At 52.2% G+C, this 16,615-nt stretch overlaps 1 long non-coding RNA gene and 3 pseudogenes across 1 annotated transcript in view; 1 reads left to right on the plus strand and 3 right to left on the minus strand.

Moving 5' to 3' along the window:
- Positions 1,531-3,363, plus strand: CICP21 (capicua transcriptional repressor pseudogene 21; annotated as a pseudogene).
- On the minus strand, positions 5,363-6,576 carry LOC105373249 (putative uncharacterized protein FLJ44672; annotated as a pseudogene).
- Positions 6,577-6,626: 50 nt separating this feature from the next.
- LOC102724236 (nascent polypeptide-associated complex subunit alpha, muscle-specific form-like) lies at positions 6,627-7,842 on the minus strand (annotated as a pseudogene).
- Positions 7,843-8,107: 265 nt separating this feature from the next.
- The window catches only part of LINC01347 (long intergenic non-protein coding RNA 1347), a 45,431-nt gene continuing 36,923 nt past the window's right edge, over positions 8,108-16,615 (minus strand). Inside the window, exons 15-18 of the long non-coding RNA NR_029401.1 lie at positions 12,213-12,331; positions 11,272-11,462; positions 9,158-9,215; positions 8,108-9,064 (exon numbers count right to left, since the gene is read on the minus strand). This is a non-coding gene — a long non-coding RNA (long intergenic non-protein coding RNA 1347). The remainder of the gene's footprint in view (positions 9,065-9,157; positions 9,216-11,271; positions 11,463-12,212; positions 12,332-16,615) is intronic.

Raw genomic sequence — 16,615 nt, forward strand, 5'->3', positions numbered from 1 at the left:
TGTGTGCCACCACACCTGGCTAATTTTTGTATTTTTAGTAGAGATGGGGTTTTGCCATGTTGGCCAGGCTGGTCTCGAACTCCTGACCTCAGGTGATCCTCCCGCTTTGGCCTCCCAAAGACTTTTTTTTTTTTTTTTTAATATAGAGACAAGTTCTCAGTATGTTGCCCAGGCTGGTCTCAAACTCCTGAGCTCAAGTGATCCTCCCACGTCAGCTTCCCAAAGTGCTGGGACTGACTGGATGCAGTGGCTCATGCTTGTAAACTCAGCACTTTGGGAGGCCAAGGTGGGAGGATCGCTTGAGCCCAGGAGTTCAAGACCAGACTGGGTGATATAACACAATAGTAAACTTCAACAGGAGAGAGAATCTGTAAACTTGAATATAGATCTTCTGAAATTATCCAGTCAGAGAACAAAGAAAAAAAGAATAAAAAAGAGAAAAGAAGGCTGGGCGTGGTGGCTCAAGCCTGTAATCCCAACACTTTGGGAGGCCGAGGCAGGCAGATTAAGAGGTCAGGAGTTCAAGACCAGCCTGGCCAACGTGACAAAACCCCATCTCTACTAAAAATACAAAAATTAGCCGGGTGTGGTGGCACACACCTGTAGTCCCAGCTACTTGGGAGGCTGAGGCAGGAGAATCGCTTGAACCCAGGAGGCGGAGGTTGGAGTGCAATGTGAGCCGAGACCACACATTGCACTCCAGCCTGGGTGACAAAGCACGACTCTGACTCTGTCTCAAAAAAAAAAAAAAAAGAAAAAAAAAGAGACAGAGAAAAGAAAGCCAACAAGACACCATTAGGCAAACCATTGTCAGGTTATGGGAGTTTGAGAAGGAAAGTAGAGAAAGGAGAAGAAAGCTTATTTAAAGAATGGCTGAAAACTGCCTAAATCATGGGAAAGATTTAGACATCTAAATCCATGAAGCTTAAAGATTCCTAAAGAGGTTCAAACCAAATAGATACTCACCAAGTCACAATATAATCAAATAGTCAAAAGTTAAAGAAACTTTGCAGGTCAGGACAGAATCGAATAATACATTCAAAGTGCTGAAAGAAAAAAACTGCCAGCAACTAATACTATGTCTGACAAAGCTGTCCTTCAGAAAGAAAGAAGAAGTAACGTGTTTCCTCGACAAACAAAGCTGAGGGCATTCAGGACCAGTAGGTCTACCTTAAAAAAATGCTTAAGGGAGTTTTTCAAGTAAAAATGAATGAAGTTGGGAGCGGTGGCTCATGCCTGTAATCCCATTTTGGGAGGCCGAGGTGGGTGGATCACCTGAGGTCGGGAGGTCAAGACCAGCCTGGCCAACATGGCAAAACCCCACCTCCAGTAAAAATACAAAAAATTAGCCAGGTATGAAGGCCACTGAGATCGTGCCACTGCACTGCAGCCTGGGTGACAAGAGTCAAACTACATTTCAAAAACAAAAAACAAAACAAACAAAAAAAACAAAACTTGAGGCCTGGCCTTCTGCTCCTCTCCAACCTCCCCTTCTCTGGGCCCAAGCCACCTTGGCTGAGGAGGGGGCGAGGAGGTGTGAGCCCCTGCCAGGAACCCCCTGCCCGGACCAAGTACTCGGCCCTCAGGCCTGCGTTCAGTGAGGCCTCCCGTGGCGTCAGCATGTTCGTGTGGAGGAATGTGGAAGTTCACTCTGTGGCCGTGTTCCCCTGGTACTCCATCCCCTTCCTGACGCACCCCCCGCAGCCACACGAGGCCCAGCAACCTGCCAGTCACTCAGTGGCCTCCAACCAGAGAAAACAACCTGCCAAGTTGGCAGCTGTTGCTCATGAGCGTCCACCAGGTGGGACAGGGAGTGTTGACCCTGGGCGGCCCCCTGGAGCCATCTGCCCTGAAAGCCCAGGGCCTGCAACCCCACACACTTTGCGGGTGGTGGAACCTGGTAAAAGCTCACCTCCCACCATGGAGGAGGAGCCCTGGGCCCCTCAGGAGAGTCCCTGCTGGACAGTGAGACAGAGAATGACCATGATGATGCTTTCCTCTCCATCATGTCTCCTGACACCCAGTTGCCTCTACCACTCAGATGATGTCAGGCCCAGTCCCTCAGTGCCCTGCGCAAGGAACAGGACTCATCTTCTGATAAGGATGGACGCAACCCCAACAAATGGGACAAGGACCACATCTGGTGGCCCATGAGTGGCGGTCATGATCTTCAGCAAGCGGCACCAGGCCCTGGCAGGGCGCACCAGGGTCACCCTAACCAGGATAACCAGACCATCAGCCAGATGCTGAGCGAGCGGTGGTACACCCTGGGGCCCAATGAGATGCAGAAATACAACCTGGCCTTCCAGGTGAAGGTGGCCCACTTGCAACAAGGACCGAAAGAAGTCCAGCTCAGAGGCCAAGCCCACAAGCCAGGGGCTAGCAGGAGTGTAACAAGGGCTCGTGGGAGCGGAGCATATCAGAGACGGGCACTGCCACTGCCCCTGGGGTGTCCTCTGAACTCCTGTCAGTTGCAGCCCAAACACTCCAGAGCTCGGATACCAAGGAGCAGCTTCTGTGGGGCAGAACAGCTGCACACAGTCAGGGAACCTGGCTCAGCCTGGCCCAAGCCTTCTCCCACAGAGGGGTACACAGCCTGGACGGCAGGGAAATAGACCGCCAGGCACTACGGGAACTGACACAGGTGGTGTCTGGCACTGCATCATACTCTGGCCCAAAGCCTTCTACTCAGCATGGAGCTCCAGGCCACTTTGCAGCCCCTGGTGAGGGAGGTGACCCGTGGGCAGCCCTGCTGCTGCCCACCTGAGCTGCTCATTCCCAGCACATGGCCGGTGAGGACACAGCGAGTGACGAGGAGCACACGGTCATCCATGAGGAGGAGGGGGTGATGATGTCATTGCTGATGATGGCTTTAGCACCACCGACACCGATCTCAAGTTCAAGGAGTGGGTGACCGACTGAGAGTGGGGACAACTCTGGGGAGGAGCCAGAGGGCAACAAGGGCTTTGGTGGGAAGGTATTTGCACCTGTCATTCCTTCCTCCTTTACTCCTGCCGCCCCTTGCTGGATCCTGAGCCCCCAGGGTCCCCCGATCCACCTGCAGCTTTTGGCAAAGTCTATGGTCCCACCCTGTCCTCCTCCAACACATACTTGGATGCTTCCTCCTCAACCTTGGCACCCACCTCCTTCTTACTGGGCCCAGGAGCCTTCAAAGCCCAGGAGTCTGGTCAAGGCAGCAGAGCGGGCCCCCTACGGCCCCTACCCCTGGGGATGGGGGCCCAGGGATGCCTTCCAAGGTGACCTGTTTCCTCCCAATGGATCCTGCCACCTTCTGGTGCAAGAGACCTGAAAGTGTGGGTGACCTGGAGCTACCAGGCTCCTCAGTCATCAGGGTCCCTCCCAACACTAAGGCTTTCCTAGGCAGGAGCTGGGCTGAGCCACCCGGGGGGCAGAGCCTGAAGAGAAATTGACTGGGCTTTCGGGGTCGGGGCAGAGGGAACCCCACGGACATGGATCCCACACTGGAGGACCCCACCACGCCCAAATGCAAGATGAGAAGATGCTCCAGCTGCAGTCCAAAGCCCAACACCCCCAAGTGTGCCATGTGTGATGGGGACAGCTTCCCCTTTGCCTGTACAGGTGGAGAAGCCGAGGACAGGCTCAGGGAACCGGAGACCAAGAAGGCGCTGTCCTCTTCACTGCACGTGCCCTGGACCAGTGCCGGCCCTGATCATGCAGCTCTTCCAGGCCCACTGCTTCTTCCTGTCCACTAGGCCACAGCCGCCCTCCAGGCCCACTATGCACACATCTTCCCCTCCAAGGTTTGTTCTGCCCCAGCCCTGACTCCCAGCCCTGTGGGGGTCCTGACCGCACCTCACCTGGCTCAGACTCTTGACGCTGCCCTGGCCGCCCCACCACTGCCTGTGCCCGAGAGTCACGTGAGGCTGAGAGTAGGGGCAGGGGCAGCAGTGGTGCCAGTTGGGGGGCGGTCCAGTGGGAGGAGCCTCAGCCTCGCGGGCTGCTCCGTGGGACTGATGACTGCATGATCTTCTGGGCACCTCACGGATCTTCAACTGCAGGTGAAACGGATGCTGGTGGTGGGTGCAGGGCCGCTGGGAGCCGCTGCATGGTTCCGAGGCTGGACTGGGGCAGGTGCCAACTGAAGCTGCTGGGGCAGCATGGGCAGGATGTTCTGCACACAAACCTTGGAGAAGAAGATGTGTGCATAGCGGGTCCACTGCTGCTGCCCCTGCCCTGACTCCCAGCCCTGCCTGACCCCACCTCAACCTGCTCAGGCTCTGGCGCAACCCTGGCTGCCCTGCCACTGCCTCTGCCCCAGAGTTGGGGCCTTGACAGCCTGGTTGGAAGGGGACACCCCAGCCCTGCCTCAACACCTGGGGGTCTCCATAACTACCACAGGCAGGTGGGCAACCCCAAAGATCCCAGGACTCACAGTACCCCCTGAGAACATGGACAGTATGTGGGGGTAGCAATGGAGGGCAGGATGGTTATCTTCTCCCAGGTAAAGCCATTTAATCCTTTCAGTTTGGGACGGAGTAAGGCCTGCCTCTTTTTTTTTTTTTTTTTTTTTTTTTTTGAGACCGAGTCTTGCTCTGTCGCCCAGGCTGGAGTACAGTGGTGCGATCTTGGCTCACTGCAACCTCTTCCCGCCGGGTTCACGCCATTCTCCTGCCTCAGCCTTCCGGGTAGCTAGGATTACAGGTGCACGCTACCACGTCCGGCTAATTTTTGTATTTTTAGTACAGACGGGGCTTCATCATCTTGGCCAGGCTGATTTCGATCTCCTGACATCGTGATCTGCCTGCCTCCCCCTCCCAAAGTGCTGGGATTACAGGCGTGAGCCACCACACCTGGCCAAGGCCTGCTCCTCTTATCTATACCCCCTACCCCTGCAGCTGTGCCGGGGGAAAGCTGGGCAGTTTCCCTCCTCCGAGCCCCTGTACATACCATGAATTGTGGGACCTTCAGAGCTTTTCACTTTTCGGAAAATAGCTCCTACTGGGGCTACAAGATGGAGTGTGAAGAGGGCCTTGGGCCACAGGGAGGCGCCTGTGGACTAGGGGGAGTTCATGCACCCCTTCTTTCCCCAGAAGGGCTGGACTCAGGTGAGTATGGGGGTGGGGGCTCCTGCACTTCGACACAGGCAGCGGGAGGGTTTTCTCCCCATTCCCTCTGCACTCCCAACTTGAGCTATACTTTTTAAGAAAGTGATTCACCCTGCCTTTGCCCCCTTCCCCAGAACAGAACACGTTGATCATGGGCGATATTTTTCACTGTGCCAAAAAGTTGCCATGACCATCATTAAACCTGTTTAACACCAAATAATAAGGAAAATAAAATAAAAAAATCGGGCATGGTGCAGAAACTCACTCCAAATAAATTACCTACCAAAATATATAATGGTGGAAATATTCCAAAATTCCATATTTTGGGATTTATACACAAAAGATAAACAAATTAGAGGCCAAGAGGCTGCCAGAAGGGAAAAACGGGGCCTGGAAAGGCCGTTGTGAGGAATGAGCTGGGCCTAAAGAGGCCACTGGCAGGCAGGAGCTGGACCTGCCGAAGTGGCCGAAAGGCAGGAGCTGTGGACTGGGGAGGCCGCAGTGAGGCGAGAGCTAGCTGGGCGTGGAGAGTCCGCTGTGAGGCCGAGGCCGGGCCCGTGCAGGCCTTCGAGAGGCAGGAGGCCGGGCCTGCAAAGGCCGACTGGAGATCAAGTTCTGCGCCTGAAGAGGCTGCCAAAAGTCAAAAGCGGGGCCTGGGAAGGCCGCCGAGAGCCATGAGCTGGGCTGGGCCGAAAGAGGCCACTGGGAGGCAGGAGGAGCTGGGCCTGGAGAGGCTGACTCGAGGAAGTTTTGCACCTGGAGAGGCCGCCGAGAGGACAGAGCTGGGCCCGGGGAGGCCAACTTGCTGCTCTTCCAGGCCCACTTCCAGGCCGACTTGAGGACGACTTGGGCCTGCAGAGGCCGCCAGGAGGCCCAAGCTGGGCCTAGAGGAGCCCACCGACCGGAGGCCGTTTGGGGCCTGCAGATGCCATCGGAGGGCAGGAGCTGAGCCTGGAGAGGCCACCGTGAGGCCTGAGCTGGGCCTAGGGAGCTTGGCTTAGGGAAGTTGTGGGCCTACCAGGGCCGCTGGGAGCTGGGCAGGAGCTGAGTCCAAAGACGTTGTTGGGACCTGGAGTCGGGCCAGAGTCCGGCCTGGAGACGCAGCCGGGAGGAAGAGCTGGGCCCGGAGAGGACGCCGGGAGGCTGCCAAGTGGGTCTGAGAGGCCGACTTGAGGAGGCCCGGCCTCTGCCTCCCGCATGGCCCAGCTGTTCCTCCTGGCTGCATCTCCCGCCTCCCAGCAAACAAGCTCTTTTGGCTCAGCTCCCGCCGGCCTTTGTAGACCCCGAAGTTTCTGCAACCAAGCTCTTCAGACCCACATCCCTTCTCCCAGTGACTGAACAGTCCCAGCTCCGGCTGGAGAAGAGCGTCTGCAAAACCCGCTGTTGCCTCCCAGGGGAGTCTCCAGGCCCAGCTCTCGCCCCACCGCGACCTCCCAGGCCCAAGTCCCTGCCTACCTCCCAGCAGCCCGCGTGCGACCCTGCTCCTCCCTCACGGTGGCCTGTTGAGGCAAGGGCTCACGCTGACCTCTGTCCGCGTGGGAGGAGCCGGTGTGAGGCAAGGGGCTCACGCCTCTGGGCAGGGTGCCAGAGGCATGAGTTGGGCATCAACAGGCCACCGTGAGGGAGGAGCTGGGCCGCACGCGGGCTGCTGGGAGGCAGGCAGGGACTTGGCCCCAGGAGGCCGCCGTGGGGGCAAGAGCTGGGCCTGGAGAGGCACCTGGGAGGCAAGGGCGGGGCCTGCAGAGGCTGTTCTCCAACCAGTGCTGGGCCTGTACAGGCCACCGGGAGGCAGGAGGTGGGCCCTCAGAGCTTGGCTGCAGAAAGTTCGGGGCCTAGAAAGGCGGTTGGGAGCTGGGCAGTTGAGCCAAAAGAGCTTGCTTACTTGCTGGGAGGCAGGGCCGGGAGAGGCCGACTTCAGGACAACTTGGGCCTGCAGCAGTCGCTGGGATGGAGGCCCAAGCAGTGGCATGCAGCAGTGGCATGGAGGAGCCCACCGACCGGAGACCATTTGGGGCCTGGAGATGCCATCGGAGGGCAGCAGCTCATCCTGGAGAGGCCACCGTGAGGCCTGACCTGGGCCTCGGGAGCTTGGCTTGAGGAAGCTGTGGGCCGACCAATGCCGCCAGGAGATGGGTAGGCACTGAGTCCAAAGAGGTTGTTGAGAGGCAGGAGTCGGGCCTGGAAACGCAACCAGGAAGAAGAGCTGGGCCCGGAGAGGACGCCCGGAGGATGCAAGTGGGTCTGGAGAGGCCGACTTGAGGAGGTTCTGGGCCCGGAGAGGCCGCCGGAAGGGAAAAACTGGGCCTGGAAAGGCCGTTGTGAGGAATGAGCCCCATGGGCCTGAAGAGGCCACTGGCAGGCGGGAGCTGGGCCTGCCGAAGCGGCCGAGAGGCAGGAACTTTGGACTCGGGAGGCCGCAGTGAGGCGACAGCTAGCTGGGCGAGGAGAGTCCGCTGTGAGGCAGAGGCTGGGCCTGTGCAGGCCTTCGGGAGGCAGGAGGCTGGGACTTTCGGTGGAAAGTCAAAAGCGGGGCTTGGGAAGGCCGCCGGGAGGCATGAGCTGGGCTGGGCCGAAAGAGGCCACTGGGAGGCAGGAGGAGCTGGGCCTGGAGAGGCTGCCGAAAGGCAGGAGCTTCACCTGAGGATGCCACAGTGAGACACCATCTGGGTCTGGAGGGTCCACTGTGAGGCAGAGGCTGGCCTGTAGAGTCCGACAGTAGACAGAAGTTGGGCAAAAGGCTGATTTGAGGAAGTTTTGGGCTTCAAGAGTCAGCCACGAGGCAGGCACTAGGCCTGGAAATGGCCTGACAGTCATGAGTTGGGCCTAAATGGGCCACTGTGAGGGAGGAGCTGTGCCTGTTGAGGCTGCTGGCAGGCAGGCAGAAATTCGGCCTGGGGCAGCTGCCATGAGGCAAGAGCTGGGCCTGGAAAAAGCCCCTGGGAGGCAAGAGCAGGGCCTGCAGAGGCTGTTCTCAAGTCAAAGCTGGGCCGGTTCATGCCACCGGGAAGCAGAAGGTGGGCCTGGAGAGTTTGACTTGAGGAAGTTTTGGGCCTACATTGGCCGCCATGAGCTGGACAGGAACTGGGCCAAAAAAGGCTGTTGTGAGGCAGCAGTTGTGCCTGTAGACCCAGCCAAGAGGAAGAGGTGGGCCTGGAGAAGCCCCCATGAGGCAGAGGTTGGGCCTCTAGACGCTGACAGGAGGCAGGAGCTGGGCCTGGAGAGGCCAACTTGAGGAGATTTTGGGCCTTCATAGGCCACCAGGAGGCAGCAGTTGGGACTAGAGAGTCTGACTTGAGTAAGTTTTGGGCCCGGAGATGACGTCCTGGGACAGGAGTTGGGCCTGGAGAGGCCACCGTGAGGCATAAGCTGGATGTAGAGAGGCCAGTGTGAGGCAAGACCTGGGCCTGTCTAGGCTGCTGGGAGACAGGCAGGAATCTGGCCAGGGAAGGTTGCCATGAGACAAAAGTTGGGCCTGGAAAGGCCCTTGTGAAGCATGAGCTTGGCCTAAAGAAGCCACTGGGTGGCAGGAGCTGGGTGTGTAGAAGCTGCTGAAAGGTTGGGAGCTTGGCTTGGGGGGTCCACAGTGAGGCAGATGCTGGGCCTGAAGAATCTGCTGTGAGACAGATGTTGGGACTGTAGAGGCCGACGGGAGGCAGAGGCTGGGCCTGGAGGGGCCACCAAGATGCAGGAGCTGGGCCTGGAGAGGCTGCAAAGAAGCATGAGCTGGGCCTGGTGAGGTCGACTTGAGAAAGTTCAGGGCCTGGAGAGAAGGCTGGGAGGCAGGAGCTGGGTCTAAAGAGGCCATTGTAACGATGGAGCTGTGCCTGTGGAGGCTGTTGTGAGGCAGTAGCCTCATCTGCGGAGACTGCCGTGACGTAGGGTATGGGCCTAAATAGGCCATTGTGAGTCATGAGCTTGGTCTGTAGAGGCTGACTGGAGAAAGTTCTGGGCCTGGAGAGGCTGCCAGGAGGTAGGAGCTGGGCCAAAAGATGTAAGCACATTTGCATTTATTAGGCACTTTATTTCCATTATTACACTGTAATATATAATAAAATAATTATAGAACTCACCATAATGTAGAATCAGTGGGCGTGTTAAGCTTGTTTTCCTGCAACTGGATGGTCCCACCTGAGCGTGATGGGAGAAAGTGACAGATCAATAGGTATTAGATTCTCATAAGGACAGCGCAACCTAGATCCCTCACATGCACAGTTCACAACAGGGTGCGTTCTCCTATGAGAATCTAATGCTGCTGCTGATCTGAGAAGGTGGAGCTCAGGCGGGAATGTGAGCAAAGGGGAGTGGCTGTAAATACAGACGAAGCTTCCCTCACTCCCTCACTCGACACCACTCACCTCCTGCTGTGTGGCTCCTTGCGGCTCCATGGCTCAGGGGTTGGGGACCCCTGCTCAAGTGCATCCGAAACGACCCTTCCCACACCAGTCTTCACAGTGGTCAAGTGCAGCAACCACTTAGCTCCCAAGGCATGTGCCTCAGCTGGCATTTCGTCACAATCAACAGTAAGTGGTAGCTTGAGTCACTGTGAGGTCACCTACTGGAAATCACCAGCATCCCATTTCCCACTGGCAAAGAGCTCAGCACTGCCCCCTGGGAAACCAAACCTATGCCCAAATCCCATCTGTGTGGGTTTATCTCCTGGGACCCTTCCTAACATATTAGTCAGAGTCCAATCAGGAAGCATAAACCACTCAAAAGTTTAAAGTGGTAAAATTTAATACAGAGAATTATTCATTATAACAGGTGAACAGCATAATGAGAGATTGGCTAGCACAAAGTAAAGAGAACTCTAGAGAATACAGGACTAGCCCAGGCCAGGCATGGTGGCTCATGCCTGAAATTCCAGCAATTTGAGAAGCTAATGCAGGAGGATTGCTTAAGGCCAGGAGCTAGAGACCGGTCTGGACAACACAGTGAGACCCTGTCTCTATCCAAAAGAAGAAAAAAGTTAGCTGGGGGTGGTGGTGCACACTTGTAGTCCCAGCTACTCGGAATGCGGAAGTTTGAGCCTGGGAGGTCAAGGCTGCAGTGAGGCATGATTATGCCACTACAGTCCAGCCTGGTGACAGAGCAAGACCCTGTCTCAAAGAACAAAACAACAACAACCATTTACAGACAGAAAAGAAATAGAGCTAATAAGCTGAGGAAAGATGTTGAAATGTGACAAGTAAAGTAATATGAGTTCTTTTGTCTATGTAAAATAATCAAACAAAAAATGACTTACTAAATTATAATACCCTGTGCTGGCAAAGGTGCAGTGAAATGGGCACTTTCTTATACTATGAGGGGTGTTTAAATTGTGTATAAGCCTTCCAGGGTAAAGCCTGTCCATTTTTTAAAATAATGGAGACAGGGTCTCACCATACTGCCATACTGCCTCCTCCAACTCTTGGCCTCAAGCAATCCTCCTCTCTTAGCCTCCCAAAGTGCTAAGATTATAGCTGGGAGGCACCCAAAACCCTGTCAATTTACATCAAGGGTAATGAGAATGTCCATTCACCATGACTCACAGTAATCTTACTTCTGGGGAGACAATTCAATCTAAACAAAAGGTCATCTGTACACACACAGTAAAAATCTGGGAGTAACTGAAGACAGAGTTGGTAAGTGAAATAAGAAACAGTTATAAGAAATTAAACTATGGTATCAATAGGCACCTGGTAAAAGGTCAGTTGATGTTAGCTGCTACTTTTTTGTTGTTTTGAGACAGGGTCTCACTCTGTCACCCAGGCTGGAGTGCAGAGGCCTGATCATGACTCACTGCAGTCTCAGCCTCCCTGGGCTCAAGTGATCCTCCCACCTCAGCCTCCCAAGTAGCTGGGACTACAGGAACATGCCACCACACTAGGCTAATTCATGTATTTTTCTGTAGGGATGGTGACTCCCTTTGTTTCCAAGGCCTATCGCAAACTCTTGGCCTCAAGCCATCCTCCTGCCTCAGCCTCCCAAAGTGTTGCGATTACCAGTGTGAGCCACCACACCTGGCCAGCTGCCACTTTTATCAATATTATTATTATTCCACTCAATTAAAAATTATTATTTTCAAGGCTATGCAACAGTATGTATCCTACAGCGTAATTGTAAAAACATATACAGTCGTCCCTCAGTATACAGAATTAGTTCCAGCCCCCCATCTCTGCATATAACAAAATCCATGCTTACTCACGTTTCGCTGTCACCCCTCTGGAATCCACGTATACAAAAATTCCAAATATTAGTTGGGCATAGTGGCAAGCACCTGTAGTCTCAGCCACGTGGGAGGTTGAGATGGGAGGATCGCTTCAGCCTGGAAGGTTGAGGCTGCAGTCAGCTGTGATAGCACTACTACACTCCAGCCTTGGACAACAGAGGGAGACCCTGTCTCAGAAAAAAAACAAAATAAAACAGGTTAGAAATTGTAATGAGGTCTGCTGGGCAAAATTCCATATAAGCAAAGTATAAATTAATAAAGCAAATCGTGATAAATTAGTACGATTGACTTTCTGGAGTTTCTGACAATAAAAGTAAGGAAAATGCAGAACACAAAGACAGACAGTAAAAAGAGAAATTAGGAAAGCATTCTACATGTTTAATAGAAAGACACTGGCCACGTTCGTGCAGAGGCAGTATGTCATGACATGACATACCTTGGAGAGAAGTTAACAGATGAGGAAGTTGATAAAAATCATCAGAGAAGCAAAATACTGGTAGCGACACTCAAGTAAACCATGAAATTTCCATAACTTATGTCAGCAAAGTGGGAATATTGTACAGTGTGTGTTGAAGTTCCTATACAACATTGTTTATCTGCCTTTTGTTTGTTTGTAAGGAATGTATATACTAAATGTTCTTCTTGCTGTCAAAAGAATATGTGTGCATAAGTCATTTTAACTTATTCTTCTGTTTTTCTTTGATCTTCCTGCCATCATCCCACAGCCTTACTTTAGAAATTTTTTTTTTAGAAAATTGAACAAGTGCTCCTTGTGGTGGCACATGCCTCGAGGATGGGAGGCAGGGGTGGAAGGGTCACTTGAGGCCATTAGTTTGACACCAGCCTGGCCAACAAAGTGAGACCCCGTGTCTACAAAACAATTTAAAAATTAGCCAAGTATCGTCATGTATACCTACAGTCCTAGCTACTCAGGAGGCTCAGGTAGGAGGATCCTTAGCCCAGGAGTTCAAGGCTGCAGTGAGCTGTGATAGCACTACTGTACTCAAGCCTGGGTGACAGGGTGAGACCCCATCTCCTAAAATAAAAAGCAAAGAAAAAAAATAGTTCAAGTAGCAAGTTGTATGTGGCTTACTCTGAATATTTCTAAACTAGAAATTCTCAATCTTTTGGGGTCTAACATCCCTTTACATTTTTTAACTTTATTGAAGATCTCTAAGACTATTTCTTTCTGCAGATAATTATATTAAAACTAGAAAATAAGACACAATTTTTTAAATATTATTCATCACATATTAAAGCCATTACATGTTGATATAATACAAGATTTTTAAAATATTTAATATTCATTACATATTAATAATAAAACCATTACATGTTGATATATTACTTTTTTTTTTTCTTTGAGACAAAGTCTTGTTCTTTTGCCCAGGCTGGAGTGAAGTGGCGCAATCTCAGCACATTGCAACCTCCACCCCGCAGGTTCAAGCGATTCTCCTACCTCAGCCTCCCAAGTAGCTGGGATTACAGGTGCCCACTACCATGTCCAGCTAATTATTGTATTTTCTTAGTAGAGAAGGAGTTTCGCCACGTTGGCAAGGCTGGTCTTGAACTCTTGACCTCAGGTGATCCACCCGCCTGGGTCTCCCTAATTGCTGGGATTACAGGTGTGAGCCACCGCGCCCACCCCGATTAATATATGTTTTAAAACACTGATTAATCAGGCAACAACACCGGGCAGGGGTCTCCTCATTCCCAGGGATGCAAACCCCACTGCACGGCTGAGGGGTTGCAAGGGCTGCAGAGCCAAAAGGCTCTGACTTGAGATATTATTTTACTTGTATTTTTATTTGTATTGTGAGACAGGTCCTGCTCTGTCACCCAAACTGGAGTGCAGCTGTGCACTTACAGCTCACTGCAGCCTCGACCTCCTGGGCTCAAGCCATCTTCCTGCCTCAGCTCCCCAGTAGCTGGTAGTACAGTTGAGTGTCACCATGCCTGGTTATTTTTTTAATTTTTTTGTAGAGTGAGGGATCTTGCTATGTTGCCCAAGCTGGCCTCAAACTCCTGACCTCAAGAGATCTGCCCACTTCAGCCTCCTGAGTAGCTGAAACTACAAGTACACATCACCATGCCTAGCTACATTTATTTAATTTTGAAAAATATTTTTGTAAAGAGCAGATCTTGCTGTGTTGTCCAGGCTGGTCTTGAACACCTGCCCTTAAAAGATACTCGCACCTCTGCTTACCAAACAGCTGGGACTACAGGCATGAGCCACTGCAATGAGCCTGAAGAGATTTCTTTAATCTAGCATCCCATACTTGGTAGGATTGGGAAAGGCAGTAGTGTTTTTTAAAATTACTTAATAATTTCAGTAACAATCAAACTCAACCTTGACCCCTGCCTTCTCTCACACCCCATATCCAGTCTGTCAGGAAATCCTGTTGACTGTCTTCGACATGTACTAAAGATCCCCACCCAGCAACTCCCTGGCCTCCTCCCCTACTTCTCCCCTCTGACCATCTCTCAACACCACCACGACCCTGGTCAGGACCACCATCATCTCCCGCCTGGATGTTGCCAAAGCTTGGCCCCCATGCTTCTATCACATCTTCCCACGGTCTTTCTCAACTCAGCAGCCAGAGAATGCTTTTAAATCAGGTGACAGATCATGTCGCCTCTCTGCTCAGAACCCTCCCGCAGTTTCCATCTGAGTCAGAGTAAAAGCCAAAGCCCCAGCAATAACCTCCCAGGGCTTATGTGATCTGTACTGATCCCCACCCAGCAACTCCCTGGCTCCCTCCCCTAATTCTCTCCCTCTCTCCGTCTGCTCCATGGGCCTCCTTCCAGAGCCTCAGACACACCTCAGACACTTTATTCTATTGTTTCTGCCTACAATCCTCTTCCCTCAGCACCTTGGCCACCTCCTTCCCCTCCTTCAAGTCTTTACTCAATTTTCACTTAGGAGGCCACCCCTGACCATTCTACTTAACATTGCCATCTGTCCCCATGCCCACCATGCTCATTTCTTCTTTCTTTACTTTCTTCTTTCTTTTTTTCAAGATCTCACCGTCACCAAGGCTGGAGTGCAGTGGCGAAATCACAGCTCACTGCAACCTCAAATTTCCAGGCTCAAGCGATCCTCCCACCTCAGCCTCCCGAGTAGCTGGGACTCCAGGTTCATGCCACCATGCCTGGCTAAATTTTTTAGTATTTTATTTTATTTTATTTTGAGACAGAGTTTCACTCTTCTTGCCCAGGCTGTAGTGTAACGGTGCGATCCCGGCTCACTGCAACCTCCACCTCCCAGATTCAAGTGATTCTCCTGCCTCAGCCTTCCAAGTAGCTGGGATTACAGGTGCGTGCCACCATGCCCAGCTAATTTTTGTATTTTTAGTAGAGCCGGGGTTTCACAATGTTGGCCAGGCTGGTCTCGAACTCCTAACCTCAGGTAATCTGCCCGCTTCGGCCTCCCAAAGTGCTGGAATTACAGGCGTGAGCCACCACGCCTGGCCAATTTTTTCATTTTTTGTAGAGACAAGGTCTTACTATGTTGCCCAGACTGGTCTTGAACTCCTGGCCTCAAGTGATCCTCCTGCCTAAATTCCTAAAGTGCTGGGATTACCAGCATGAGCCATCATGCCTGGCTTCATGTTCATTTCTTCTTGCTGCTGCAACATAGTTTGCAGTTTCCTACACTTAGTGGCTTAAAACACCACAAATCTACCATCTTACAGTTCTAGGGGCCAGACACCCAAACTAGGTCTATTAAGGCTAAAGTCAAGGTGTCAGCAGGGCTGCATTCCTTCTGGAGACTCTAATATGTTCCCTTGGCTTTTCCAGCTTCTAGAAGCCACCCCCATTCCTTGGATCATGGCCCCTGACTCCATCTTCAAAGCCAGAGGTGAAGCATCTTCAAATCAGATCCCTCTCTTACCTCTGCTTTCATCACCACATCTCCTGCTCCAATTCTGAATCTCCTACTCTCTTTCTTTTATAAAGACCCTTGTGATTGCTGGGCATGGTGGCTCCCACCCAGAATCCCAACACTTTGGGAGGTCAAGGCAGGAGGAACACTTGAGGCCCGAAGTTTGAAACTAGCATGAAAAACACAGTGAGAACCCCCCCTAGAAAAAAATAAAAATAAATATTAGCCCGACATGGTGGTATGCGCCTGTAGTCCCAGCTACTTGAGAGGCTGAGGTGAGACAATCGATTTAGCCCAGGAGTTTGAGATCAGCCTGGACGACATAACTAAATCTCATCTCTACAAGGACGAGGTGGGAGGACCACTTGAGCCCACGAATTTGTGGCCAGCCTGGGCAACAAAAGAAGACCCCATCTGGCCAACATGGCCAACCTGGCCACCATGGCGAAACTCTGACTCTACAAAAATGAGCTGGGCATGGGTGACATGCATGTGTAGTCCTAGCTACTTGGGAGGTTGAGATGGGAGGATTGCTTGATCTCAGGAGGCCAAAGCTATAGTGAGCTATGATCACATCACTGCACTCCAGCCTGGATGACACAGGAGATTCTGTCTCAAAAAAAAGAAAAGAAATACATATTTAATCTCTGTCCCTGGTTCGTGGCACAGAGCTTCTAAAGCTCTTACAAAGACCTCAGTGGCAGATGTGACAGGAACATCTTTTGTTTTAATATTTGGTCTTGGTCCCAGGTTTCTAACACAAGAGCCTCTAATAACTTTGGGATCTCCAGCATGGTAAGAATGCATTTGGGGATGTTGTTGAGATGACTGCGTGACTGCAAGCTCCTAAATTTCTTCAAGAGGAGGGCTGATTACCATGCAACCACATTATAAGAGGCTTGGAACTTTCAGCCTCATGCACTGAACTCCAGGAGGAGGAGGGGCTGGAGACTGACTTAATCACCAACAGCCAAAGGTTTTATCAATCATGCTTGCATAATAAAGCCTCCATAAACACCCTGAAAGGGGTTTGCAGAGCTTTCAGGGTTGCTGGACACAGGAGATGCTGGGAGGGTCGCATGTTCAACAGAGGGCATGGGAGCTCTGTGCCCCTCCGAACTTAACTTGCCCTGGGTATCTTTCTTTTTTTTGAGACAGGATCAGGCTCTTTTGTCCAAGCTAGAGTGCAGTGGCACAACCTCAGCTTACTGTAACCTAAGCCTCCCCAGTCCCCAGCTCAAGGTATCCTCTCATCTCAGCTTCCCTAGTAGTTGGAACTCTAGGTGCACACCACCACACCAGTTATTTTTTTTTTTTAATTTTTTATAGAGACAGGTTTTCACCATGTTGCCCAGGCTGGTCTCAAACTCTTGAGTTTAAGCGATCCTCCCACCTTGGCCTCCCAAAGTGCTGAGATTACAGGCATGAGCCACT

This window comes from Homo sapiens, chromosome 1, assembly GCF_000001405.40.
Source record: "Homo sapiens chromosome 1, GRCh38.p14 Primary Assembly".
Classification (NCBI taxonomy): domain Eukaryota; kingdom Metazoa; phylum Chordata; class Mammalia; order Primates; family Hominidae; genus Homo; species Homo sapiens.